We start from the raw sequence: 27,725 nt of genomic DNA on the forward strand, positions 1-27,725 counted from the left end.
TTAATAATTGTAATGTGGATGCAGAAACATTGACATTCTGGGATATTTTGATAATTTACAGGAATAATAGGACAGGTATTTAAACAGAACTGACCCAAAAACCTAAGACATGCTTTTGTATCTACAACAATCTTCCCATCATAGTCTCTCTCCCTTCATGGTACAGTGATCCTACACGAATACAACAAAATGTTGGTAAATGAAAGCAACTCACTATAATCATCAGTGCATAAAAGACATACAAACAAACAGGGAGCTTTGACTCAATGCAGATGTTTATTAGAACTAATGTTTGTTTTTTCATACGAGCAACAGCTTCTGTTGTTAATAAAATCCGGGCATGATTATTATTGCTAACAGCAGCACTCATGGTATGAAATTATAGCTTCAGTTATACAAACTGTATTCTAGAGAGGTGGGTTTTGGTTGCACAAAGAGGAGACCTTTTAAAGAGGCAGCACATTTAAAACATTTTCTTACTTATTTTTTTAAATTAATATTCACAATCAGTGATTCAAAAAGCAGCAATTTTAAAGTTGAATGAGCTGCAATTGGGGGTAGTGAGTTTCTCATCAGTAGAAATGCTCAAGAATGAGGTCGCGAAGTTAGACAAGGTTGTTGTCCTCACAGATACTCCAGCCCTCTGCTTCTATGGCTCTGTGAGAGATCTGGGTTTCTTGGACCTTAGCAGCAGTGCAGGAGCTGGCACAGCTAATAAGTGCTTGTAGGTCACGGGGAAGCCTGGGTTCCATGGCCTATTTAGACATTTTCTCAGGATAAGGATGAAATTGCAATTGGAGAAATAAACAGAATAAGCTGGGTCCAGCCAGAAGTCAGTATTTGTGCACAAACCTTGAGGCCATTTCAAGTCCTGTTTAGAATTCTAACTTTAAGGAGAAAAGCTCTTTTTGGTGTTGGTTCTGATCCCAGAAAAAGAGTCCACTGGACATGTGTTTTTGTGGGAGGAGCTGGTATAATAAAGGACATCTTGAGTGGACATTTACTATTGTTCTCCCTCCATGTGGAAGGCCTCCTCCGTCTTACCTGTGGACAAGGCTCTGGTCCAGTCACCTCTTCTGGGAAGCCTTCTTGATTGATATCTCCTCCCCCAAAACCTTCATACCAGAATGGTCTTTCTTTTACCTCCATGACTTTCCAAAGCAGCACTTGGCAGGGTTTGTTCTATTACATGGTAGTCAATTACATATGTTTCATGTCTCCCAATAGGAGCTCCTAGAAGGTATAAATGATACTCTCTTCATCTAGGTAGTTCCCACAGGAGCCACCACAGCCTGGGATGTTGGGGTGTGCCCAGGCAGTGCTTGAAATGGGAAGATATGGTGTCTTGGGATGCCTTGGGATGATTCCAAAACAGCATTACAGTTCTTCTTTGGCATTGAAAATGGAGTTTCTGCTAGCTTGACAAGTGTCTGATGGAGCTGGGTCCCATTGCCACCTTCCCCTTACAGAATAAACAGCAGGGCACAAAGAGGTAGAATGACTTGTTTATAGAACCAGAGGCAGGCTGTGAATTGCTGTCCCTGAGTATTCAGCCTGGGGCTTAATATATATATATATATGTTCTCATTCTCCATTATCTTCCTCTTTTTTTTCAAGAGACCTGGAATTACTCCAACAGCTGCATACAGGTCAAGAGTTAAAGTCCCCCAGGGAAGATCAATTTCTATAAAACAGAAGACAGGAACTTGGAGCTTCTGATCCCTTGGAGGGCTTATATCTTGGAGCTCTGGAGGGCATAAAGTCTCTAGAAGCTTCCTGAGAGAGGATGGGAGAGGCATTTTGCTTGGAAAACACTTATGGCCTTGCAAGATGAGGGAGTTCAGGGTGAGGCTCAGGGGTGAGGAGTCGGGGAACGGCTGCTTGGGGTCAGCTGTGGACATAGGAAGGAAGAGTATAGGGGCCTGGGGTACAAACTACCAGGGCCCACCTCATGCAGCCCAGTTTCCCAAGAAGGGAAGGAGGCCAGGGCCCAGAGCAGATGCTCTGCTTAGGAATAAGGAAGGATCCTTTGGCTCACACTTTGCCTGTCCCATGTCCTTGGGAACCCACCCGTAGTGGAAAGGGGTGGGTATTTCAGGAGCAGCAGCAGCAGCATTTTGTCTGCATCAAAGTTCCTTTGAACCGATTGTAATTTTTGCCTTTTGGTTACATTGGCTTTACCTCATCTTATCAGGGGGAAAATGGCTTCATTGTATCTTAGATCGTCAGAGCTTTGAGGACCCTTTGAGATGAGGGAGGAGGACTTGCATAGGGTCATACAGGGGGCTAAGGGCAGAGCTAGTTCTAGAACCAGGTGTCTGCCTTCCCAAACCACAATCCCCAGGCTCCCTCCTGTCCCTGCTTCTCTCAGGCCCTCCCGCAATCTGTCATCTAGTGCATGTTCCTAGTTACATTTGCTAGGGGACATACCACAGGACTCAGAACCTTGTCTGTTTTACTTTTTTAGGGATGAGGGTGAAGATTGATGTTGGGCAAGTTGCACGGTGGCAAAAAAGCATACAGCATTTAAGGGCAGATGGAGATGGTCAAGGTTGAGGGGAGAGGTGTGTCACTGATCAATGCTAAGACCCAGGCAGGGGTTTGTAAGAGAGCTTCGTCTGCCTGGTAGACACATCGACCTTCTGCTAAGGTGCATTTATTGAAAACAGTGTATGCTATGCACTCTGTTAAGTGCTATGCATCTATTAGTTAATCTTTTCCTCATCAGACTTTTACGAGGTAGGTAAGGTATAGCATTTCCATCTTATGAAGAAACTGAAGTTCGAAGAGATGAAGTCACCTGCCCAGCACTGCAAACTAGTAAGTGATAGAGCCTGGATTCGGCCTGTGTTCTGACCACTCTCTTGCTCCATCTCTTTAAAGAGAGTGAAAAGGGGGTGAAGATACCTGCTCTATTGCCCAGTAATGGATAGGCCGAAGGAGGGGGGATGGGAGGAAGGAAAGGAGAAATGGCTGCTTTCATCGGAGGATCGTCCTCTGCTACTGACTGCCCACAGCTGGTGGTGCTGGGGCTGAGGAGCCAAATTCAGTTCCTCACTCCGGTGACCCTCTGGATCCAGTCCTTGTTGTGGTGGATGTAAGAGTATACTCCGTAGCGGTCCTTCTTCCCACAGTCATCACCCCAGGACACAGTGCCCACCAGGTACCACTGGCCTCTTTCTCTATTCAGGGTCACCATGGGGCCTCCAGAGTCACCCGCACAGGCGTCCTTTCCCCCTAGGTGAAAAAGAGACATAGATGAAGATAAAATGCCCCTTCCCAGCCCAAGTCTCCTTCTCCCATGTATGGGTTGTAGTTCAGAGAATTGGGCACTAGAGGGCATAGCAGACCGTTGGACCCAAACCTCAGCTCTGGGCAGTTCTAGGTCAGGCCGCATCAGAGCTCAAATGATTCTAAAAAGCCCTGATTCAGACCTCTTTCTTTCTTTTCTTTTCTTTTTCTTTTTTCTTTCTTTTTTTTTTTTTTTTTGAGATGGAGTCTCGCTCTGTCACACCCAGGCTAGAGTGCAGTGGCACGATCTCGGCTCACAGCAACCTCTACCTCCTGGGTTCAAGTGATTCTCCCTCCTCAGCCTCCCGAGTAGCTGGGACTACAGGCACCTGCCACCATGCCCGGCTAATTTTTGTATTTTTAGTAAAGATGGGATTTCGCCATGTTAGCAAGACTGGTCTCGAACTCCCGACCTCAGGTGATCCACCCGCCTCGGCCTCCCAAAGTGCTGGGATTACAGGCATGAACCACCGTGCCCGGCCAAGGCCTCTTTCTTAAGGGAAACACTGAACTTGGGAAGGGAATGATGAGCATCCTGTAAATATCTTTTCTCCGATGCATCTTCTCCTGTGGAATCCCTCCTCCCACGGCCTTCCTCCAGTCCCCCGCGCCCCCACACTGCCAGCCCACCAGGTTGGGAGGCCTCTGTGCTCCCTTGCTGGCTCTGCACCACTCCCTGGCTGGCAGCGCCCCTGTTGTATGCCAGCCTCTTAACCCACCTTCCTTCTCCCCAGCACAGATCATGTCCCTGGTCACTTTCTTCTTCAGCGGGGCATAAGCCTTCTGGCAGGTGCTGTGGTCAACAATCGGGATTTCAATCTAGAACACAAAGCTGTTATTGGTCCTCATCCCCGGCTGAGAAGCCTCTGCTATTCTGACACCCCTGAAGACGGCTCCTCTCCACTCCATACCTGGACGGACCTGTGTCTACCTTAGACTTGATCTAAGAGACTGCCCCATGCTACAGGTGAAGGAACAGTTGAATGGAGAATCAGGAGGCCCGTGTTCTAGGGCAGTCTTGGCTGTGAAGACCTTGGCTGTGTGAACTTGGGCAAGTCACATGCCCTCTCTGGGCCTCAGATCTCTCTTCAGTAAGATAGAGGTAATAATACTTGCCTAGGAGATGTATTAGTCAATAGGACAATGTATACAAAAATGAAGTTTGGTTTTCTTTTGTCTCACCCCTACTGTAGGACCTAGAACATGTGGCTTACTCATTGTTTTTCAGACTCTGAGACCCTTTTTCCTCATCTGAAAAATGGAGGTTGCAGTATTTGATATACTAATCATTGTACAAAGAGGAGAGGCAGGAACAAGTGCTTTGTAAACTACACACACTGTATAAATATTAGCTACTGTGGAGTTATCACTGCTGGCTTTGCAGCAAGCACTTTGTTATGTTGTCCTCCCTCTCTACAGTATGAGCATCTGTCTCGATGCTGGATCTGTATTTTATGCATTTCTATCTTACATTGCTTGGAGCTTAGTAGATACCCAGAAAATATATATATTTTTTGCAATGCAGCAAAATCGATACATAAAAATAAGGCATTGTGACTATTATTGCCCTTGATCCAGTGTGGGGGTAACTGTTGGAGTAGATGTCTGGAATAAAAAGAGGAAACATATGATTCTCTTTCAGTCAAATCAAGAACTGAATGGGCCATATTCTCTAAATGGACAACTCCTGTTGCCCTTGCTGGGAGGAAACCAGAGGCCATTCAGATCCCTCTTGGGTCATGGCCTTCCCTGGATAAGGGGAGAGGAAGCCAGGGCAGGGTGGTCCTGAGGACAGATCCTCAGCAACTGCTGAGCACCTGATTCATCGTTCAGGTATCATTTCAGCATCACTTCCTTTGGGAATGCCTCCTGAACCCCTGAGACAAGATCAGATTCTCTTTCATATGTTCTGGAGCATCCTGCATTTCTCTCTCTCCACCTTTATCACATCCATAACTACTTTCTGTCCATTCCACTTGACCATGAGCCCAAGGGGGCCAGGGACCAGATCTATCCTTTTACCCCAGCACAGCTAGTAGCTAGTACAGTGTCTGGTACCAAGGAAACACCAAATAGACCCCCGGGAGTTAGTGAATGAAGGGATGAATGGTTGTTGCAAATCCCAAATTTTAAAATATGTCAAAATAATATATGTGGAAGAATTTAGAAACTAGCTGTGTCAGTCATAGGCCCCGGTGATATCAGAGCCAAGCAACTCTTTGATGGCAGCTCGTGTTGCCCCATAACTCTGCAGTTGGAAATAGTATCTTATGGTCTAGAGAGGCAAAATAACTTGCTTCAGATGACCCAGCAAGTTAGTGGGAGCCAAGACTTGAAACTATGGCTCCTTACTTTTAGTTAAGTGTTTTTTTTTTTTTTCCTTGAACTGATAGGAATATGAACTTCTAAGTGTAACTGCCAAGTTCATTACTGCAAGGACTGTGGTTCTCAAGAGCCTGGCTCATTCTGGCCAATTTGGTGTACAGTTCTCATGGTGCACAGCTGGATTGTCACCATGGGGGTGTCTAAACTTGCTGTTTTCTGGGAGAATTTTCATAAGCTAAGCCTTTAATAAGCTACCAGAAAAACTTAACCGTGTTTAGAGGCTAGAGTCCATGACATGTAGAACAAACAAATCAAGCTTTCTGGGGTTCAAAGTCCCATTGAACTTTGGAGGTGGGTCTGGGCTCCTAGTTTCCCACTCACCAACCCCCACCCAAGCCTCAAAATCCCTAAGGGAACAATACGGAGCAGGAAGGCCCAGTGCAGAGCTGAGGTGTCACTGTCTGTAGGTTATAAAGTGAACTTCACCTCCATCAGGGTCTCTGGGAACCTTTGCAAGAACTGCTTCCCCCAGCCGCTGACGATGACCATGGCTCCTGGAGGAGAGAAGATACTGTGAGAACAGAGAAGCTATCTGTGGGGTGTTTGGAGGGGTGCAGCTTGCAGCTCCATCATCCTCTTCTGTGGAGGAAAGACTGGATTGTTCTTCTCAGAGAAAGGTGGTGTGGTGGGGAGGAAGACGTGAAAGGCAGCTGGGCTACAGATTACCTGCAGCAGAGCTAGGGGCACTGGTTTCTATGATGTGTTACTGGCTTACTTGTTTAGTTTTCTATTCTGTCCCACCCTCAACTAGTCTGAAACCTAGGGTCCATGAGAGCAGAATCTCATTCTTGGTCACTGCTATATCACAGTGCCTATAGCAATGCTGTCACATAGTAGGTGCTCAATCAAGAACAGCGAATAAATAAAAAGCCCAGCCTAGTCCACTATGTGCTATGGTGCCTTTAGCCAGCCCTCCTCTCTGCTCCCCTTCTAAGCCTCTGTTTTCCTATCCATAAAATGAGGAGGCTGGACTTGGTATTCTCTAAAACCCCTTTCAGAGTTGACATTCTAGAAGTCTATGAAGTTGGTAAATCTGTGGGGCAATGTGGAAGTGGGTTGAGCACTGACAGAGCAATTATTTTCTCATTTGAAAAAGAGCCTGGATACTGAAAACAGTGTTGGGCTTAAAGTCAGAAAACCTGTACTATATCCCTAGATCTGCTTCATACAAGCTGCATCTCGGGTGAGTCACCTCACCCTGCTGATCCTTAGTTTTCTCGTTTGTAAATGAGGCTACAGTGCCACCTTGCAAGGCTTGCATGGTTCGTAAATAAGTTAATGAACATAAAGCACCTGGTGGGCACATGGCACCCAATGAGTCAAAGCCAGCTACACCTGTGCCTTTCCTGTTGGCTCAGTTCCCCTAAATACTCCTCAGATTACATCTCAGCCATTTTTCTTTTGAGCTAAAGGAAGTGAACTTGATGTGGCACCACTGAAATTAGAATGAAAAGGAAGCCAGCTGACATGGGTCACCTATGTTTAAGTATTATCTCAAACACGGAAATGCCACAGCCACCACATGGGATAGCATCTCCAGTTTAGAGGTAAGGGGATTGAGGCTTACTGAGGTTAAATAACTTCCTGAAGATCACCCAGCTGGGAAATGGTCACAGTGGTGTTTGAGCCTGTGCTGAGTATTTTTTTTTTTTTTTTTTTTTTTTGAGACGGAGTCTCGCTCTGTCGCCCAGGCTGGAGTGCAGTGGCGGGATCTCGGCTCACTGCAAGCTCCGCCTCCCGGGTTCACGCCATTCTCCTGCCTCAGCCTCCCAAGTAGCTGGGACTACAGGCGCCCGCCACTATGCCCGGCTAATTTTTTGTATTTTTAGTAGAGACGGGGTTTCACCGTTTTAGCCGGGATGGTCTCGATCTCCTGACCTCGTGATCCGCCCGCCTCGGCCTCCCAAAGTGCTGGGATTACAGGCGTGAGCCACCGCGCCCGGCCTGTGCTGAGTATTAAGCCATTGTCCCCCAGCTTGAGACTTACCCTTCTACATTCTGCTTTGTGGTACTAGGGATGAGACTCTGAAGTGGGCAGTTCTACTTTGCTAGCTGGTTTCCTGAAAACAGGGGGCACTTTCAGAAAGGCAGGAAGACTTGCTTTGGCTGTTGGCATCATCCCTGGCAGTGGTTTTTCACCCCAGTAGTGGCCATTGTTTCCAGCTGTTTTCCTTAGCACGTTAGACTCTTCTGCAGCGGTTCAGGTTCTGGCCCCATAGGGCCCCTTTTCCAAGCTTCTAATTTCTAACTCCAGGTTCTTACCTTTGTTTCCCCAGCCCTAGGGTTGGTGGTTTCTTCCTGCAGGTACCATCTCTATGATCTCAGCTCTTCCCTCTTACTTCTCCAATCCTCCAGTGCCCTATATTAAATTCTCTCTGTTACGATAACTAGTCTAGTTTTTGTTTTTCTATCTGGACCCTTAGGTCTGACTGTTTACTATGTGCTTCCCACAACTTTTGCTGCCTTGGACCCAGTTCTGACTTGGCTGTTTGAGGGGAAGCAGTTGGTGAGTCAAGCAGACACTGTCAGCTGACTTAATTGGCACCAGAGCTTCACCAACGTGAAGACGGACTCCTTGTGGAGGCACCAGCTGCCCTGCAGAGGTGGAGGTAGGGGAAAGTACCTTCCTGCTGGGGTCCCTCAGGCAGACAGATGGGCATCACGAAGGCATTCAGCACTGGGCTCTCCAACAGCTCCACCAGAGCCACGTCATTCTCGAATGTGTTGGGATCATACTGGGGGTGGAGAGTGGTGTGTTTGACGCCGAGATGCTGTTCATTTTCATCTGACCGGAGCCTCCAATGCTTGCCTGGGCAAGAAGAAGACATGTGAGGCATGGGTGCAATGGAGGATAAGGTCACACCTTGTTCCCTGTCAGCCCCCGCCCCAGCCCCATCCAGCCCTTGCTTCCAGCCTTAGCCCTTTCACTGCCTTCATCCACCTTTCCCAGACATCCCACCCTATTGGTCATTCTCTACATAATCTCATGGGTCCCCACCTCTGTCTTTCTTCAGGAACTGATGCTGTTGCCTTGTAATGCTTGTTCTGATGCCTGCTGCCACATGTTCAATCCCTATCATCACCTTCAGTGCCTGTGTCAAACATGACCTCCTCCAGGTAGCCTCTCAGACTCTTGGGTTAGAAGTCTTTCCCCTCTGAACTCCCATGGCATTTTATCTGTTCTTCTTCTACAAAACTTACTGCTGGCTACTTTCCGTTAGAGGTCTCTGTGCTCACATCTTATTCCTTTATTAGACTGTAAGCTCCCTGTGGGCAGAAACTAGGTCTTAATCATACTGTGTCCTTAGATCCTGGCATAATGTCAGTAGGTAAATATGTGTGGACCTGAATTGAATCAGCTGGTCATCTGATTTTATAAACAAGAGGGGAAATCTGGATCGTATATGTATGATCTATTTGAAACCACAGGTTCATGGAAATCTAACAGGTCTTTGGAAATTATCTAGAGGCCTCCTCATTTTATCGTTGTGAAACTGAAGCATAGACTTCAATGCCTTCTCATGGTCACGTGTCTGGAGAATCATATCTTGCACTTGGACTCAGGTTCCTGGACCTCCATCCCAGGTGTCCTGCCCTGACAAATGAGTGAGCGAGTGAGTGAGCAGACACGCCTTGGAAAGGGCCAGTAGGTCATTCCCAGAACCACAGCTGGCTTTGGGAGTCAGCTTGCCCCTCACTCACTCACCCAGGATGATTTTGAAGTCAGAAGGGCTGAGCAAGTCTGAATCACGTAGGGTCGGATCTTCCGGATCGAGTGACTGGTGGAGGCAGTGTGCGGCGGTCACGATCCAGCTGGAGCCTGGGGAACAGAACACACGTCTCATCGTCCTGCACTACTGGGTCTTGCCTCCCTCTGTCTTGAGCTGAGGATCTTCAGGCTACTCCAGAGGACCCCTCAAGACCTTGAAAATGGCCATGCTTCTCTCCATTGTATTTTATGGCCCCCAACTCAAATGCTCATATGATCCTAATCTGAAGATGAGGATTTAAATCTGTGATTTTTACCTGCCTATTCCAACCAAGGCCAGGACTGAACATTGTAAACAGGATTTCAGGGATCCTTTAAGCCCATGGCATTGGTGAGAGCCAGAGAGCCCAAGGTGGGTGCACAGAAAGCCTGTGGTCAACTGGCTGCCTTCTCAGGCCTTGCTTCTCAAAGTGTGGTGCCTGGACCAGCAACATTAGCATCACTTGGAGGCTTCTTAGAAATGAAGACTCTTAGGCCGGCCCCACCTCTGATCCACTGAATCAGAATTTTCATTTTAACAAGACTCTCCAGTAATTTGTATGCATATTAAAGTTTAAAATTGATGAATCCGAAGCTACCTACACTGGCTGCACGTTAGAATTACCTGGTGAATGAAAAAAGAGTAAATCAGTGTCTGGACCTATATCTAGACCATTTATGTCATGGGGGTGGAGCCCAAGCACAGATAATGTTTTAAACATTTCCTTAGTTAATTCTACTGCTGCCAGGGTGGAGAATCACTGCTCTGATCTAGACCTTTCATTATATAGGCAGGAACCCTGAGGCGTGGAGAAAGCAGAGATGTCCAGGGTCACCCAGCAGGTTGGTTTCAGGGTCAGGGCCAGGGCCAGACCCCAGGGCTCCTGATAGTCAGCTTAATGCATTTCCTGTGTCTCAGCTGTCATCTTTCTCTGGATGGACAGGCATCTGCCCTTCGTTTAATGCAGGGTCAGGCTTCCATTCACCTCTTATGTGGAGCAGATGACAAGCCCATAAGTGGCTGAGCCCAGAGACATATCCAAGATGAGCCAAGCAGAAAGAAAAGCTCTAGAACACAGGGGTGGGGGAGGCTGAGTATCAGGTCAAAGTTCAGGGTCGAGGGCAGAAGTGCTTAGTCTCAGAGCAGGTTCCAGGCTCCACTTGGCCCTCTGAGAAGCAGCTATGTGCTCCTGGGTCCTGGCCAGGGCTCTACTTAGGCCACTCTTCTCTGCCCTGGGGCATTTTTTGATCCCTGCCCATGTCCAGGACCAGATTTTCCAGGTGGATCAGGTGGGCTGAGGTACCCAGGTTAGGACAGCCTGCCTTGGTCTGGGGCTCTGGGCTGTTTAGATGAACCCAGGGGTGTACACTGGCCAGTTCAGAGACATGGCTTGGCCTCCCAGCTCTGCAGATCCCTCTACCCAGGTGTCAGTGTGGGCATTAATGAGGTGCTTTCCCCTTCCTCTGTCCCTTGGCTGCTTTCCTGTTTCTTCTGCCCTCTCCTATCCTTCCCCTGCTCTTTAAGACTGAATGACAGGAGGGAGACAGAAATGATAGATCAGGGTTGCTGCAGGGAGTGCGAAGTATGAGGGCATTCCAGCTTGGCCGAGGGTAGAGAAGTGAACGTCAAACATTTTTCAAACATAAGTCATAGGGAATAAACATACAATGAATCACAATACATGGTGGACATTAGTGGACTCAAAAATTCAAGGTTTGTCCTAGCTACTCGGGAGGCTGAGGCAGGAGAATGGCTTGAACCCGAGAGGCGGAGGTTGCAGTGAGCCGAGATTGCACCACTGTACTCCATCCTGGTGACAGAATGAGACTCCGTCTCAAAAAAAAAAAAAAAAAATCAAGGTTTAAGAAAATGAATTCATTCTTAAAATTAGGTGCACACAATCCATCTCTCTTACTTGCCCTCTAACAAAATCGGAGCTGTCTGGTGAAGCAGAGTCTTCCCTCCCTCTGCCCTCGCTGGCAGCTCTTCCTCCACACCACTCTGCTTCTCTCCAACTTCCCTTCAGGTCCCTCCTTCCCTGGCTTCTTCTCTCCTGGGTATCTTGTGCCCGCCAGTACCTCCTCCTCTTGTTGTATTGTTCCCTTTCATTTTTCTCTTTACTCTCTTCAATCCTCTATCTTATTTTCCAGGTATCTCTCAGTGTTCTCTGTCTCTCTCTGTCCTCTCCATTGTTGTCTTTCTAATTCTGGTCCTCTGTCTCCCTTCCCTTCTCTCCCTTGGTCCTCTCCCCGACTCTGCTCCCACTGAACTGCCCTCAGCCCTGTCTGGCCCTATAATACCTTCCCTCACTCTCTTTACCTCTCTGGGGGACTTCTTTGAGTGAGACCATTCATCTTTGGGTCTGAGAGAATGTAAGGATAAATTCCTTGCAGAGTAGGGATTTATGTAGCCCTGGTGCTTTGGCTGCAGCTCTAGCCCAGACCTGATGCCTTGCCAAAGGGATCCCTGCCCCAGAGCTGTCCACCCCTGGTTGGATCTGGAGGAGGGTGGGGCAGAGTGAGAGGCATGCCCATCAGCCTGGGAGTTGCTCATGCAGAGATGGGCCAAGCCGGGCCTTCTTCCTTGGGGGTGGGATCCGATGCAGAAGTGGTCTAGATAGCCTAGATTGCTATTCAGTTTTCTTTTGACATCAGAACTGGAATAGATCTTAGATTGCCTGGACCAAACTGTGTCAGGGAGAGCCATCGGCTGTTCTCATTCTTGCTCCCACTCCCACCCACATTCCATTACAAAGGTGACAGTCCTATTTCCCAGTGTTATCGAATCTGCCTCCTTATTTCCATCCATCATACCCTGTTCTTACTCTGAGGCTATGCCTTCTCTCCCCACCACTGCAATGGATGTCTCACTGATCTCCTGGCCTCCAGTTTCACCCTCCTTTTTATCATTGCTGCCTCTGGAGAGAACTTTCCAGAGCATACTTATCAACCTAAAGCAGCGTTCAAGACAAGATAAAAATTCCTAAGCATAGCATTCAAGGTCTTTGTAAATCGACCTTCCCTGATTCCCAAGGGTGAGTTTCCTGGCTCTCCCTGAACTCACAGCCCTGGCATGCCCTGTCTTTGACCTCCATGTACTGTTAAATTCATGGTTGAGAGACTCCCTGACTTTGTCCTTCCCGGTGCCAGAGACAGACCAGGATCCAGTCTAGCCGAGAACTCTTTCTACCGCACTGTGCTTCTGTGCCCTGATGCTAGTGTGCACAATGATTCTCAATGAAGAAACCTTGGTCAGTCTCCAAGGAGGGGGTTCAGTTCCTTAGCTTCCACCCCTTCCACCTTCTCCCTACCTAGAAGGGAGCCTCCGCAGAAGGGCTGCCCATTCAGGTGTGACAGCATGGCAATCCAGGGAGTGGTGCCTTTCTGGGCTGGGCGTCCATTGAAGATCCTGGCCATCAGCTTCCGGGAGAACTTGGGGAGCCCACACACTGCATCCAAGGGAGGGAGGGAGAGACAGATCAGACTCTGGGCTCCATCTTGCCCACTGCCAGAGCTCCCAGCTCCTCACCCTGTTAGGAACATCTATTATTTTTGCTCCTCCACCATTAATTGACCTTCCTGATAATAGCATCCCAGTCTTTCTTTGGAGGCTGCACTTTCCTTATTCTTAGTCTATGCAGCTAGAGTTGGATTGACCTCACCTCTGGTTTCAGGGATAGGAATGTGACTGATCAAAGCCATGCACTTTCTGGTCACAGCAATTGCTCAGAGATGGGAATGTGACCTTGGCTGGACCAATGAAAGCATTACTTGAGAATTTCGCTAAACATATTACAGAAGAGAAAGTCATTCCCTACTGGAATTGCCAAGCTATTAGCCATAAGCCCAGATCTGCCAACAATCACTTCATTAAGAGTCTGCTGAGAATGATGAAGAAAAGTGGAGCTGAAAGTTGAGGGACAAAGAGACAGAGAGATTGCACCCTAATAGTTGAGCCCTTTGATCTAATTATATGTGAAGCCTTTTGGTACAGCCTTTTCAGTTATGTGTGCCTATAAATTCCCTTTTTTCCCCTTAAGCTGCTTATGTTTGGTTTATGTCACTTACAAATGAAAGAGTCACAGCTAATAAAGAATCATTATGCTCCAGCCACATGAATCTTGTCTCCTCAGAGAAGCCCTTCCTCAGGGCCTTGTGGAGTTGAAGATCCCCTCCACCACAGTGTCTGCCTGCTCCATCCCATTTTCCACTGGCTTGGATTGACAGACACGCTCCCACATACACACTTTACAACTGAATAGCCCTCGGAGACCATCTGGTCTATACTTTTCATCATTCAGCTAAAGAAACCAAGGCCTGGAGAAGGAAATTGACTTCCAAAAGGTATTCCATGAGTTAGTAGCAAGACTATAGTTCTAGGTCTCCTGACTCCCAATTCTGGGCTTTTCTTACTCTGGCCAGCCCCATAAACTTTTAATTATGTGGCTTCCCAGAACACTCATAACCCAAGCCCCTGGATCCAGGCAGTCACCTGCTACCTTTGTAGCTGTCACCAGGCTGGAGAATATCACAGATAAATGCTCTGCATCCACAACCTTGATGCAGCCTCAGCATCTCCCAGCATCATTCCACATGCCCACAGCCAGCTTCCCCAAGCTAATGCCCTGCCTCCATTCCCAACAGACGCTCAGAGCCCAATGAGTGGGAACTCCCTGAGTGGGAACCCCACTGAATGGGAACCATCCTCCTCACCATCTCTTCTTCCTATAAACTTTATTGTCTTCAGAACTAATTTTTCACTCTGGATCTCTTAACTTTTGAACTCTTGGAGACCTGGCCTTGGAGACTGTCACCCCTCTCTTGTATTTTTCATCTCTCCTTATTCTATGCCTCCAAAACACAGTCAAGACTTTTCATCCTAAAAATCAGCTTCCATTTCCCCGTTTGCCATTCATTCCACAGTCTCTCCTTCTCCTCCCTTCTATAGTAAAGCTTCTGAAAAGACGAGTTGACACTCCTTTCCCACATTCTTCCTCCCCCTTTGGAGCCGGATTCAGAAGAAGAAAGTGCCATGTACTGCACAAACTTGGAAATAGGCAGCCATTTGAATATTTAACAGGTCTACAAATAGATGGAAATAAAATGTCTCTGAGACCATAAATGGAACTCCAACCATGATATCTACATACAGAGTAGGATACTATTTTTTGAATCTTATCAGATACATTTTGCATCCCTAGGAATTCGCTGTGCACTGTGGCTCCCAAGCCATTGAAGCTGGAGCATCCACGGTTTTAAGCAAAGGCTGGATAAAGCTTTGACTTGAAAGAGCAAAGCAGAAACCAAAGTCTGGTAAGACGGACTTTCATTTTGAAGAGTCAGGCTTCATAGTAAGAATAAAAAATTTGTAGGTTTCAAGGAACCAAAACATGGAGAACTGAACATGTAATTTTTACCATAAGGCTTAGGGAAGATGCATGGGCAGTTTCCTACCTCTGAGAAAAGAGCTAAAAGCCCATCCTGGGAGACTGAGAAGGCTGGAGAGAGAGGAAGGAGGGAGTACAGAGAGAGGACCGAGAGAGAGAGGACAAAGGAAGAGAGAAGTCCTAGAGACTTGAAACTCACACATGGAGCCTCCTGCCTGCATACCCCTCAGGGATGATGATAGAGACTTGATTCCTCTCTTAGGGAACTTCCATCCTGGAGTCCTTTATTGGGACTCTTAGCAGCATTGGGTGCTGTTGACTACTTCATCCCTCTTTACAACTCCTCCTCTTGGCTTCTGAAGCACTTTTCTCCCTGTGTTTCTGATCCCTTCCCCCCCCCCCCTTTTTTTTTCCTTGGGGCCTCTCTTTTCTTCATGCCTTCCATGATGCTGGTGTTTCAGGCCTTGGTATCCTTTTCTTATCTGTAAATTTCCCGTAGATGATGCCCTCTACCTCTATGCCATCATACTACCCATGTGCTGATGAACTTCAAATCAGTGTCTTTAAATCTGCCCTGTCCTCTAAAACTCACCATTCTTTACTGCCTACTTACATTTCCAGCTGGATTGCTCATAAACTCTTCCAGCTCAGTGAATCCAAGCCCAAGTATCCACCCTTCACTAACCTTCTCCCCTTTGTTTTTCCAGATGTCTGCTAATGTCTGAATCAATCACATCCTTGTTGCCTCCCTTTTCTTCAACCCCATGTTCAATCAGTCGCTGAGCTGCTGGTAAATCCCTAGGAGAAGGAGAGTGATGTGTCTCCCCGACTCCATGTCACAAAGTGCTCTCTATGTACCTCAATATGTCACAACCTCAGTACCTCAGTACCTCAATACCTCAGTACCTCAATATGTCACAACATAAAGTCCAAGTATCAAAAGAAAAACAAAAATTGGAAATGTAATAGAACATGAGACACGATAGTCCTTCAAACCATAAAGTGCAAAGCGTAAATAAGCTCTTATTTTCATTCTCAATAGTGTAAAAAGGATGGCATTTTCATTATGGTACAAACCAAAAACAAAGGCGAACCATGAGTGCGTCCCATGGTGAGACTTCACTATCACGTGCCACTCATGCTTGAACTTATCAAGAGATGCCTATAGGCCAAGCCCTGCTGTATGTACCACTTAAATCGATTTAAACTGCCCCTCCTCCTGTCTGCACTGTCACAGCCCTATGGGTGGTGGGTCTGCACCATCCCTCATCAGGACAGTTGCAGAAGTTGCATAACTGCTTTCCTAGCTCAGCCCCTTCCTGTCCACTTTCCACACCATGCTGCCCACCCTCAGACATACTGAATTCAAATTTTCCAGTGGGTGAGACCCAGCCATCTGCATTTTTCACCAGCACCCCAAGTGATTCTCATATACCCCAAACTTAGAGAATCACTCGTTTCAGGACAGTTCAAATAGAGCATGCCCTTTAAAACTCTTCCCACTCAATGCCCACTGCTCTCACTTTAACCATGGCCAGCTTTCATGCTTTTTTCCACTCTGCCCCTTCCCTCCTATCTCCCACACATCCTTTGAAGCCTCTGCAAAGCTATTCCAAGCCCCTCCAGCTGTATGATATAGCCCCTTCTTTAAGTTCCTATAGTACTTAAATCTCTGTTCCTTTTACATTTAACTCCTTTTGCCTATATAAGACCTACATGCACATAAGCTTGTCTTGCATGCCAGTTTCAACACTTTGAAACTGGTACTAGAAACTAGCTGGCACAGAACATGTTCTCCATGATGCTGTAGTTGCCTTAGCAGGATTCATAGCTGGTTTTGCTCTCAGCGTGTGGCACCACGGGTAACTTGACATACTGCAGGGCATCTGACAAGGTCCATGTGCCACTGCTGATGATCTCGTCCAATGTCACATTGGGACTAGAGATGCCCTAGCCAGTCACCAGGCCCAGCGTGTGGGGGGTTGGGCCTTCAGGCTCAAGTCCTTTGAAGACAAGGACTTAAATGGCAGGCACTTAAATGAAGGAACAAGTAGCCTCTGAGAAGGAGACAGATCAATAACCAAATCCTTTCCTCATTACCTCTTGGATAATGTCCAGATACCAAAAGTTGTACTTTTTCTGCAACAAGGGAGATTTTGGTTTAATGAGGAGACCAATTTCTTTTCAAAAAAGTTAAAACAAATGAACACACTTCCCCAACAATAACAAAACCCATAAGCCAAGGCTGTTGGTTATCCACGAGGGTTTATTTCCACTTGAGACCCCTGATGGGAGCAACAATGCAGAGGCCCTTTACAGAATGGTGAAGCATATGATATAAAAGATACAAAATATAACATCATTTACATGTGCCATTCATAGACAAAGGAGTGTGTTTGATGAGCCGGTTGAGAAAGTGGACACTTCCCAATCATTCCCTCTCAGGGGCTTCTCTGGCTGCCTTGCTCTGATGGAGATTTTCAGGAGAGAGAGCTCCAGGGAGAAGGAGAACAATCAGCCCTGTGAGGGCCAGAGAGGCTGCTAGCAGTCAGGGAAGCTCTGAGTGCTCCAGCTAGAAGGAACCTGCAGGGGACCTTATGCCAGCCTGTTGCTGACGGAGAACCAGAGACTCAGACAAAGAAAATGATTTTTCAAAGGTTATACAGCCAGTTGGGGGCAGAGCAGGGACTAGAACCCAGGACTCCTGGCTCTTTTCACTGCCTGCCATGGGTGAGCCTCTGATTCCTTTGACTCTGAAAAATGAAGGAGTGGGTCCCTCTGAACATCCTGCGGGGTGGATTCTCCGCCCAGCTCATGCCCCAGGGATGCCAGGCAGCCTGGCAGGATTTGGGTGACTTCTAATGTGCCCACCCCACTCTTTCTTCCATTTTCCTGCCCAAAAGCACAGCAGGACACAGTGTGGGTCTTTTCTTTTTCCAGGTAATCGACTAAGTCCCCATATTCGGGCCTGGGCTTCAGGTAGCCTTTCAGATAATACATTTCAAGGCTGAAAGATTGCTTTGTGCTTGTCTGGAGCAGCAGGTGTGGACGCCCATGGTGTCAGCTGGTGTTCCAGGGTGGCATATGGGCCCAAATGTGTTCTGAGTTGACAATGGGAATTTAAGGGCTTGGTGGGCCTCCCACGGCTATTCTGCTCCCAGCAGTCAGCACAAACCTTCCCAACTTTCTCCATGTCTTTTGAAATTCCTTTAATGGGGAACATAAGGGATAAGGCTTAGACTGCAAGAAGCTTTTGGGAGAGAAACCCCAGGCATGAAGGTGCTCCAAGGGATCACACTAAGAGAGAGGGGCTTGGCTATGAGCCATCTCCCAAAACCTGAATGCTCTTCTCCTAGAGGAAGGATTAGGCCAAGGCTAGTCCCAGAAGGCAGAGCAGGAAAATATACAGATGCGGCATTCAGTTCAATGTTAGAAACCATTTTCTAATAGTCAGGTCCAAGCTCAGTTATACCAACAGTAGGACCGATGGGTTTGATAAGTGGTCAGGAGTGAATAAAGGCCACTGGGGTAAGAAGCATGGCCTGGAAAGGAGTGCTGGGATTGGCACAGAGGCCTTGGTTGAGCTCCTGCATTGTATTACTCGGTAGAGTGAGGCCCAGACAGGGAAAGAGACTTGGACAAGCTCAGGAACACAGGTCTCCTGCCTGGAGCCTTTTCCCTATACCACACTCTGCCTCTCAGGGTCCTGGGGGCTGTCTCGGTAGGAGAAGCCACCGCTAGGTCAGTGTGTTCCATTCCATATGGTCTGATAAGTAATGTGGAGTGTGCTGTCGGAAGTGCGGTGTAGCTTCGCTCAGGGGAGGCAGGCCCCGAGGAAGTAAGTCAGCTCACCGTTCCACCTGGGGCTCCACAACACTTTGTGGTAAGCCCATCTGCTCCCACACCCAGTCCACGTAATTGGAGACCTTTGTGTAGACTCCATAGACCTGCTTGCTGCCGCATTCTTCAGGTCCCCCCCAGGACACCAGGCCTTGCACCACCCAGCGCTGGCTCAAGTCATCAAAGATGACAAAGGCCCCACCGCTATCTCCAAGGCACGTGTCTTTGCCGCCCTCGTAGTAGCCAGCACAGAACATGTTCTCCGTGACGCTGTAATTGCCCGAGCGGGACTCATAGCTAGTTTTGCACTCAGCGTGAGGCACCACGGGTAACTTGACATACTGCAGGACATCTGACAAGGTCCGTGTGCCACTGCTGATGATCTCATCCACTGTCACATTGGGATTGGAGATGCCCCAGCCGGCCACCAGGCCCAGCATGTGGGGGGCCGGGCCTTCAGGCTCAAGCCTTGGCAGGCAGACAGGCATAACGTGGGGTCCCAGGGGCACAGGCTCCTGCAGCTGCACCAGAGCTATATCGTGGTTGTAGTTTTGGATGTTGAAGTCTGGGTGGAGCACCACTCGGGCAGCTGAGCTGTTGACTGCCCCCGATTTGTCTCGCACATCATGCAAGCCCAGGTAGACGGTGACATGCTCCTTGGAGACTGGTATCACCGTGGTGTCTCTACGCTGGGAGCGCAGCACATGAGCTGCTGTGAGGATCCAGGACGCAGAGAGCAGGGCCCCACTCCCAAACCACTTGTCATTTGGCACTCTCGAAGTGTCCTCCACCACTATCAGGGCCTGCCACGGGAAGAGGCCAGGCTCAGCATTTCGGCCCCCAATGATCCTCTTGACCAGGCTTGGCAGGGAGCGGGAGGGCTGACCACACTCTGTAAGGAGAAAGAGGGAGCAGGGACAAGAGACAGAGACTGGTCAGGTCAGCCATGTGACAGGAGCCACAAAGATAAATTCACATTTCACCCACTATAGATTATGCCACCATGGGACCCTAACCTGCCTGGGTCATGCTAGCCTGGGAGAGCTCTACTCAGGGTCATTTTGGGTCTAAGTCTCTCTAGGCTGGCCCATCTCTAGTCTGGCTTTTCTGTAGCTGGGACTGTCTCTGGACTGGACCACTCTGTGCTTGGGCTTTCTCTACCCTGAACCACCTCTGGCTAAGACCACTTGTGACCCAGACCATTTACAGCCATCTATTTCCAGTAGTGGTCACTTCTCCCCTTCCTTCTCTAGAAAGGCAGGTCTTATTTCAGAAGTGGTCCATGCTATGGGAACCTAGAATACTTCTGAAAGTTTTCTGTCCATGGGGACAGAGAGATGGAAGGAACCTAAAAAACCATCTAGCAGGTCACAGCAAACGCTAGACTGGGAACAAAGATGCTGGAAGCCTTGGCCTGGCTTTTCTCTTCCATTTCCCATGTAACTCTGAGTCAGCAAATATCCCTCTCTGGATTTCAATTTTTGATCTGCCAAATGAGGCATTTGGTCACAATGATCTCCAGGGATCCTTCAAATTCCAGAGATCCTTTAATTTTCATTTTATTTGCCTTGGCCATCACCATTTTCTAGGTGAGTAAACCTCCTGAGTTTAAGTGACTAGCCCAAAAGGATATGACTCTTAAGTCAGATAGCAGAAGCTTAACTAGATTCTAAGTCTTGTATCCCACACGGACTTAACAGATATTAAGACCATGGGCATAGGCCCTCAAACCTTTTCTTCTCTGTCCTAACAGAATCTTGCTATAAATTGATGCCCATGGATTAAGCCCCAGGGCATCCAGGGTTGGGGAAAGGTGGCATAATCTATAAGCAATGATGCATGGACCCTACTCTGGGCCACCCATCATTGCACCCAGGAGCTGTGTAGTACCTTTAGGGGAAGGAGAAAGATCTGAGCAAACTTCGTTCCACTGAGTTGCACCCTGAGCATGCACATGCACCACCAGCCTCCTGTAGCCAAATGCCTCTGGCCAATGAGCAGAAGGTCTTCGGCACCAGGCCCCCGCTGGCTAAGAACATGCTTGCATGGCCCTTCCCAGGCAGGGTGCTTGGGTCTTGGAGGTAGACCTACTATGAGTGTGGGCCTCCTCCTGGTTCCAAATGGCCAGGCTACACTCCTTGGCCTGGGTGCTTTTGACAATCCTTTAGACATCATGGAACATTTGAGTTTTCTTGGCAACTTTGGGAGAGCAGGCTTTTAGCAACCTAATGCTTTTCAGATGCTCTTCTTCCTGAGGCCAGATGCTTCTTGCTTGATCCTGGGGCACCCTGCCATTCACCCCAGGCCAGATGTGAACTGGTCTTTGTAACTCTCTGTGGCCTGGCCTTTCAAAGTTGAGGGTCAGCCTTCCAATTACAAGTAGCAAGCTGCAAGGCAACATCTCAATGCAGCTCTGTGACTGGTCCTACATATATTTAGTGCTTCAAGGCCCTAATCTGGTAAGGGACACGTCTATGGCTTGGTCCATGGTCACAACAAAGCCAGCATTAAACGCTACCTTTCTCCAACCAAGGTGCCAGTGGCACACTGCAGGTCACAGATCAGATCTGGAGAGACCTTGGAGAACAGCTAATTTACAGATGGAAACATGGAAGTTCAGAGAAGGCAAGTGACTTACTCAAGGTTGTTAATGGGAAAGCCAGAACTCGAACCTATTTATCCTGAGTCTAGCTTCATATCTCCACTGAAATCTGTTTTTCTCCTTGATGTGTTCTTGTCCTTTTAAGAGGCTGAATGATTCAACAAGCTCTTGGGAGAGCTCATTGAAATGGGGTCATTCTTATTGGCTGCTGCCATTCCCCACCCAGTCTTTCCTGGGAGAAAGGGATCTTCTTGAAATGTTATAGCTTTGGCTATGCTGAAGCCAGATTTGGGTTCTAGAGGACAGTGGTTACTGAGGGAGGGTCTTTAAAAAAATGTGATACTCTAGGATTCAAGGTTCCTGAGGATGGCATAAAACATGATCATGGTAAAAAAATGGCTCGGCATTGCTTATGTTGCCATCAAAAGTATTGAGTTCACCTTTCAGTTCTGCCCCTGACTTTCTACAAGTAGCCTTGTGCAAATCACTACACTATTCTGATAGTTTTCTCATTTATAAAATAAAAGGGCAAGTAATATTTGCTTAGCAGGACCCCTGAAATGGTGGGCCTTTTGACAATAGATGAGATGGCCTTCTCCATCCTGGCCTGCATCCTGGTTCAATCACAGTGTTTTGCGAAGAGAGAATTTACAAATTTCTGGCCTAGTCCAATGATACACCATGGTTCTGCCCAACACTGGGTGTTAAAAGAATGTCATGACTCATTGTATCCAAGATGCTTTGTACAAACATAGAGGATGATGACCATTAAAAGTCATAGAATAGCTGGGTGCATGGCTCATGCCTGTAATCCCAGCACTTTGGGAAGCTGAGGTGGGCGGATCACCTGAGGTGGGGAGTTCGAGACCAGCCTGACCAACATAGAGAAACCCCGTCTCTACTAAAAATTAAAAAAAAAAAAAAAAAAAGTCAGGCATGGTGGTGCATGCCTATAATCCCAACTACTCGAGAGGCTGAGGCAAGAGAATTGCTTGAACCCAGGAGGCAGAGATTGCAGTGAGCTGAGATCGCACCATTGCACGCAGCCTGGGCAACAAGAGCGAAACTCTGTCTCAAAAAAAAGGTCAGAATATCATAGGTCTCTTGGTTCTGATGCTTTACTTCTGAGGTATGGGATCCCAGACCCAGAGATATGAAAATACTTACCAAAGATCACAGTTAGGAAATGGCAGCATCAGTATTAGTACCTAGGGCCTTGACTCCTTGCCCAGGGCTTCTTCCCCTTCCAGAGGTGGCCACATGGCTTTCTAGCATGGAATCTATCCCTAGCTTTTTTTTGCTCACATGGTCTTTTAGCCAAATGGGGATTAGATCCTCTGGTTTGCTACAGCCCCACCATTCCTCTACAGCTCCGCCATTCCTCTCTTCTCTGAGGCTTCACTGCCTGGAGTCCTTGGTTGTACTTCTGGGCAAGCCTAATTGAGGTAAATGGAATCAGCGGAATGGGTGGGATGAACATTCCCTTATTCCACATCCTCATAAGTTTTTCTCAGAAATAAAGACCTCTTATGTGAACCCTTCCTAGTCAGTTCTTACCCCTTCATTCATAGACAACCAGGCATTGTTACTTCCTTCTTCTCTGGGATCCCATAGCACCTGTGATGGTCAAAACCTGACTCCCAAATGCTAACATGTTCTTCGCTTCTTAAGGATGAATGGTAGACAACTCCATAGCCTTTCCATTTTAGTGTCTAATCTGATATCTAGAAACCTCCTGATATGGTTTGGCTATGTCCCAAACTGGCTATGTCTCATTTCTCTCTTGCCTGCCACCGTGTAAGATGTGCCTTTCACCTTCCGCCATGATTGTGAGGCCCCTCCAGCCATGTGGAACTGTGAATCCTATAACCTCTTTTTCTGTGTAAATTACCCAGTCTTGGGTTATGTCTTTATCAGCAGTGTGAGAACAGACTAATATACCAACCGTGTACTAGTATACCTTCTTTATACTGTATACTGTAGGGTTACTGAAATGTACCATTAATATAATACACTATGTCAGTTTACCCAACACTCTCATTCAGCAAAATACAAATATCACCCAATGCTTAACCATATTGCAAATTTCCTGCTGTTTGTGCAAACATGCAGATGGAATTAGACAAGGCATTTAATTTTCAGTATTCCTCAATGCTGTCTTGAGTGATTGTATCATTAAACTACTGCCATTCTTGCTTTTTTTTAAAAAAAATGTAAATTACTATGTTGTGAATATTAAATTTAACTTTTTGTGGATTATTTGTTTAACCGTAGAGTGTGCATTTTGGGGCTACACTTTTCTAAGTTGACTTGAATAGCTATACATGTGATTGCAATGCAAATCACCCATACTATTTATTTATTTATTTTTCAAGACAGAGTCTAGCTCTGGCACCCAGGCTGGAGTGCAATGGTGCAATCTCAGCTCACTGTAGCCTCTGCCCCCTGGGTTCAAGCAATTCTCCTCTCTCAGCCTCCTGAGTAGCTGGGATTACAGATGCACACCACCACGACTGGCTAATTTTTTTTTCTATTTTTAGTATAGATGGGGTTCCACTGTGTTGACCAGGCTGGTCTTGAACTCCTGACTTCAGATGATCCACCCGCCTTGGCCTCCCAAAGTGTTGAGATTACAGGCATGAGCCACCACGCTTGGCCTATACTTTTAATGCTAAAGCAAATATCCTCAAAATCTGTATGCACAGTAACACTTCCTGTTACCACAAAATTTTCTTTCCATTTTAAAGTGGAGTCAGTAAGTAAACCATGGGAATCGGAAAGGCTTGACTACGTTGCTGTTTGGAAGAAAGAATTTGTCACTCTGTCTTATCATGATGTTGTTTGTGTTATCATCTCCTTGATAGCATGGTGAGTGCTTGAGGACAGGGTGCCCACTTTTTAAATTTCCCCGGCACAACAGCAGATGCACATGCAAACTGTGTTATATGAAAAATCTTGTGGCAAGGGCACAGAGACGGGACAGGAGGGCTCTCAGAGTGATGGAGCAGGCAGAAAATACAGGCTGGTTTGAGAAGGTGTGAAGCAAGTCTTCTCTGACCTTTAACCTTTTGAAGACATCTCTTAAAAAGCAACCAAAGCATCACCTCCCCTGTCCCCCATCACCCTGTTAACAGCCAGAAAACCTGGGGTCCTAGGGCCTTGGATGGAAAACTGTGAGGCAAAGGATTTGGAGGGTGAGGTACCTGGAAGGCAGGTGGGTAGGCTTCTCCCCAATACTTTATTCATCCAGACTCCTTGGGCAGAACAGGTATATATACCTGGATTAGTGAAAGAGGTTAGGAGAGGAGGGAGAAAATGGTTGATTTGTAACACATGGAAAATAGATCTGGGTATTTAATTTCTCTAAAGTGAGTTATTACAAAGTCCTCCAAATGGTCATCTAGGCTCAGATACGATTGTCTCTGAGCCTAGATGTACTAAGAAGAATGAGGAAGAATGTGGCAGGTACTCTCTGGGATACAATCCTCCAAAGGGACCAATTAACCTCCAAATATCTTCAAATACCCACAGGGCTACCATCCTAGTCCTTCTATCAAACTCCCTTTGCAACATGAAGGATCTTTCTAAAATGGGAATGTGACCATGTCCTTTCTCAGCTCAGAATCACGAATGGCTTGCTGTCACCCCCAAAAATAAACACCACACTCTTCAGCATGGTGTCTGTCCAAAGCTCTGGGGAATCCCACTCCTGCCTGGCTGAGGGCTGCTCCCCTCCCCACCCCACGCTGCCCAGGTCCTGGAAGGCACCTCCGCCTCACTTGTCACAAAGACCTGGGCTCACATGGCTCCCTGTTGCACAGATGCCCTTTCCTTTCTTCTCCATTTGACAGACTCTTTAATAAGCATACATTTGTGGCCACCATCTCACTGGCATTTTGAAATAGCTCTAAGAGCTTTGTAACTCTTCCCTCTTTTAAAAATGAGGACTTGGGGCCAGGTGCAGTGGCTCACGCTTGTAATCCCAGCACTTTGGGAGGCCGAGGCGGGCGGATCACTTGAGGTCAGGAGTTTGAGACCAGCCTGACCAACATGGCAAAAGCGGGTCTCTACTAAAAATACAAAAATTAGCTGGGCATGGTGGCAAGCTTCTGTAATCACAGCTGCTTGGGAGGCTGAGGCGAGAGAATTGCTTGAACCCAGGACGTGGAGGTTGCAGTGAGCCGACATCACACCACTGCACTCCAGCCTGGGTGACAGAGTGAGACCCTGTCTCAAAAACAAAAACAAAAACAAAGAGGAGTTGGAGGCTTAGATGAGTCAGGAGAATGTTCTCAGTGCTTGCATGCCAGAGAGGCAGAGCCGATGGGCCCTCCTTTCTCCCTGAGAGTTCCTTTTCTGCTAGGGACTATGAGTGCATGTGAGCGGGTGTTGGGCTGCCACAAGGCAGGGAGAGGCGGGTTATGTCTCTAAGCATTTCTCCTCCCAGTTCCTCCCAAACCCCCAGTGTGGCCAATGGTCAGGTTATTGCTGGTCCTTCACCCTCTGGCCAGTGTGCTGCTGCCCAGCCCCTGGGGCAGCCAGGGGTCTCTGCCAGGTGGCATGGATGGGGCCTGGACAGGGACTGCTGTGGCTGTGCTTGAGCTGTGGTCAGGGGATATGCTGGGCTACCTGGGGAGACAGAGGATCCACTCCTCGCTCCCCAACCCTGCCTGGACCCCTGTCCGTACCAGGGGAAGAGGTCTTTGAAGGAAGGTCCCTTACCTGCTGAATGGGTCTGGCCTGGTGAGATGTTGCCCTCACCCAGAAGCCAAGGCAGAGTCTGGGTGAAGCAGTAATACTGGCCTTTTTTTGGAAACCCCAACTCAGCCTCAGACCACATGAAGGAGTTTAACTTGGGGGATTCCAGGCTTCCTTTAGGGTCTCGTTTCTTCTCTTAGTTGTGTCAGTGTGTGACTCCTTCACGCTCCCACCAACAACTCATTAGTAAATCAGTGCTAGCTTTAAAGTTAAAAACAAAAAAGCCTGCTTTTTGGTTTTGAGACTGTTTCTGCATCTCCACATGGACACAGTAACACAAGCTCATGAAAAGTGAGAACCTGAGATGTGTGAGTGACACGTTTTGCATTATCAGGCTCTACACACTTATGAGCAGTTCTTCCTTTCACAGCTGTCTCGGCCCCCAGTCCAACCCTGAGGCCCCGAGAGTGTGAAACGGGAGTGGGATGGCTTAGCATGGATGGCTTACCTGTGTTATTGTTGAGCATCTTGTAATAGGGCTCCTGACAGGAGTATTTGATCTCAGACTTGTATGTGGTGAGGTTGTTCCTTGTAGAGAAGGTGATCAGCCCGTGTTCCAGCTCTCCTGGGGCTCTACAGTCTACAACTGAGAGAGAAGAAGTGAGACCCCTCAACTGCCTTTTGCTCATCCTCCTTTGGCTATCTGATGGATCTATCTCATGCAGATGTACAGGTTGTGCACTGCACACAATTCCAGAAAGCAATGTTATAATGCCTCTGAAGGGCACCCCTGGGGTGTGCAGTGTACAGCCTGTGAAGCTACCCATGGTCCTGCTTTTGAGGTCTCTTCCATTCATTATGGTACTACTGTGTGGTCAACTCACCTGCCCAGTGTCAATTTTGGGTAGGGGAAGGTCTACTGAGGTTTAAGCAGACTCCAGTCTTTTACCCACCAGGGCCTCTTTCTTTTACTTCTAGTTTTATTGTGCAATCCTCTCTGCCTCTTCTGCCCAAGAATGAAGCCCTTGGCTTAGTGAGAAAACTCTAGCTGACATAAACTAAATAATCTTTTGTTCTTCTAGTCCCAATCCTAGGCTGAGTAACAGCAGCTAATGTGCTCACATTGGAGTTTGGCACAAAAAATAAAAAAACCCAGCTCCTGTATGAGTACACAGCCCCACCCTGCTGCCTCTCTACAGGCAGCTTGCTTGGCCATAGAAGCCAGGAGGCAGGGTTGGAGGTGGATCAGCTTTCAGTCTTCCCCTGTTCATTTTCTATAATTGTTGATGGCCGCATGTTTGAGCCATAATTCCCAGTACAGGACATGAATAAAGATGCCTGCTCCTCAGAGGTGGTCTTTGGGGAGCTTTCCAGTCCAGCTCAGTCTTAGGGGAGTTGTCAGCACTGATGGAGCCCAGTGTGAGTCAGCTGAGAGTCAGGGCATCTTTTCATGGCCATATCAGAGGCTCTGGACCCAAATTTGTCAATCTTTTCATTCTTAAGGAAATCCTAATCTTAGGTATAACAGCCTATGCCAGAGTCGAAGAATCATAGATGAATCATAGAATGTCACAGCTGGAAAGAAACCTGAAGTAGGCAATCTAGAATGTCCTCTTTATTTTATCTATGAGCCCAGAGAGGAGACTTGACTCGTCTAAGGACATACAGCAAGTTACTATCAGAATGAGAGCAAGATTTGACCTCAAACCCAGGGCTGTTTTAGTAAATGGAACTAGTGGTTCTTAAGGATCTGTTTTCCAGTTAAATGGCCTAT

The 27,725-nt window shown here is 47.5% G+C and overlaps 1 protein-coding gene and 1 long non-coding RNA gene across 4 annotated transcripts in view; one reads left to right on the plus strand and one right to left on the minus strand.

The window, feature by feature from the left end:
- The window catches only part of MASP1 (MBL associated serine protease 1), a 74,456-nt gene continuing 46,988 nt past the window's right edge, over window positions 258-27,725 (minus strand). For 2 of the 3 annotated variants that reach the window (NR_033519.2, NM_139125.4), the window contains 3 exons: window positions 26,460-26,597; window positions 24,457-24,531; window positions 17,058-19,543 (listed from right to left, as the gene is read on the minus strand). Coding sequence is in view for 2 of the 3 variants with exons in the window: in NM_139125.4 (NP_624302.1) it covers window positions 18,660-19,543; window positions 24,457-24,531; window positions 26,460-26,597 (1,097 nt within the window). In the remaining variant the exon portion in view is untranslated. Of the gene's footprint in view, window positions 3,238-4,010; window positions 4,111-6,102; window positions 6,171-8,299; window positions 8,486-9,382; window positions 9,497-12,735; window positions 12,874-17,057; window positions 19,544-24,456; window positions 24,532-26,459; window positions 26,598-27,725 lie in introns of those variants that run through there. The other variant, NM_001879.6, reaches the window with a different exon arrangement.
- Window positions 6,002-10,020, plus strand: LOC105374260 (uncharacterized). The gene is made up of 3 exons (XR_007096209.1): window positions 6,002-7,223; window positions 8,100-8,285; window positions 8,691-10,020. It is a non-coding gene; the product is annotated as an uncharacterized LOC105374260 (long non-coding RNA).

This window comes from Homo sapiens, chromosome 3 (genome assembly GCF_000001405.40).
Source record: "Homo sapiens chromosome 3, GRCh38.p14 Primary Assembly".
Classification (NCBI taxonomy): domain Eukaryota; kingdom Metazoa; phylum Chordata; class Mammalia; order Primates; family Hominidae; genus Homo; species Homo sapiens.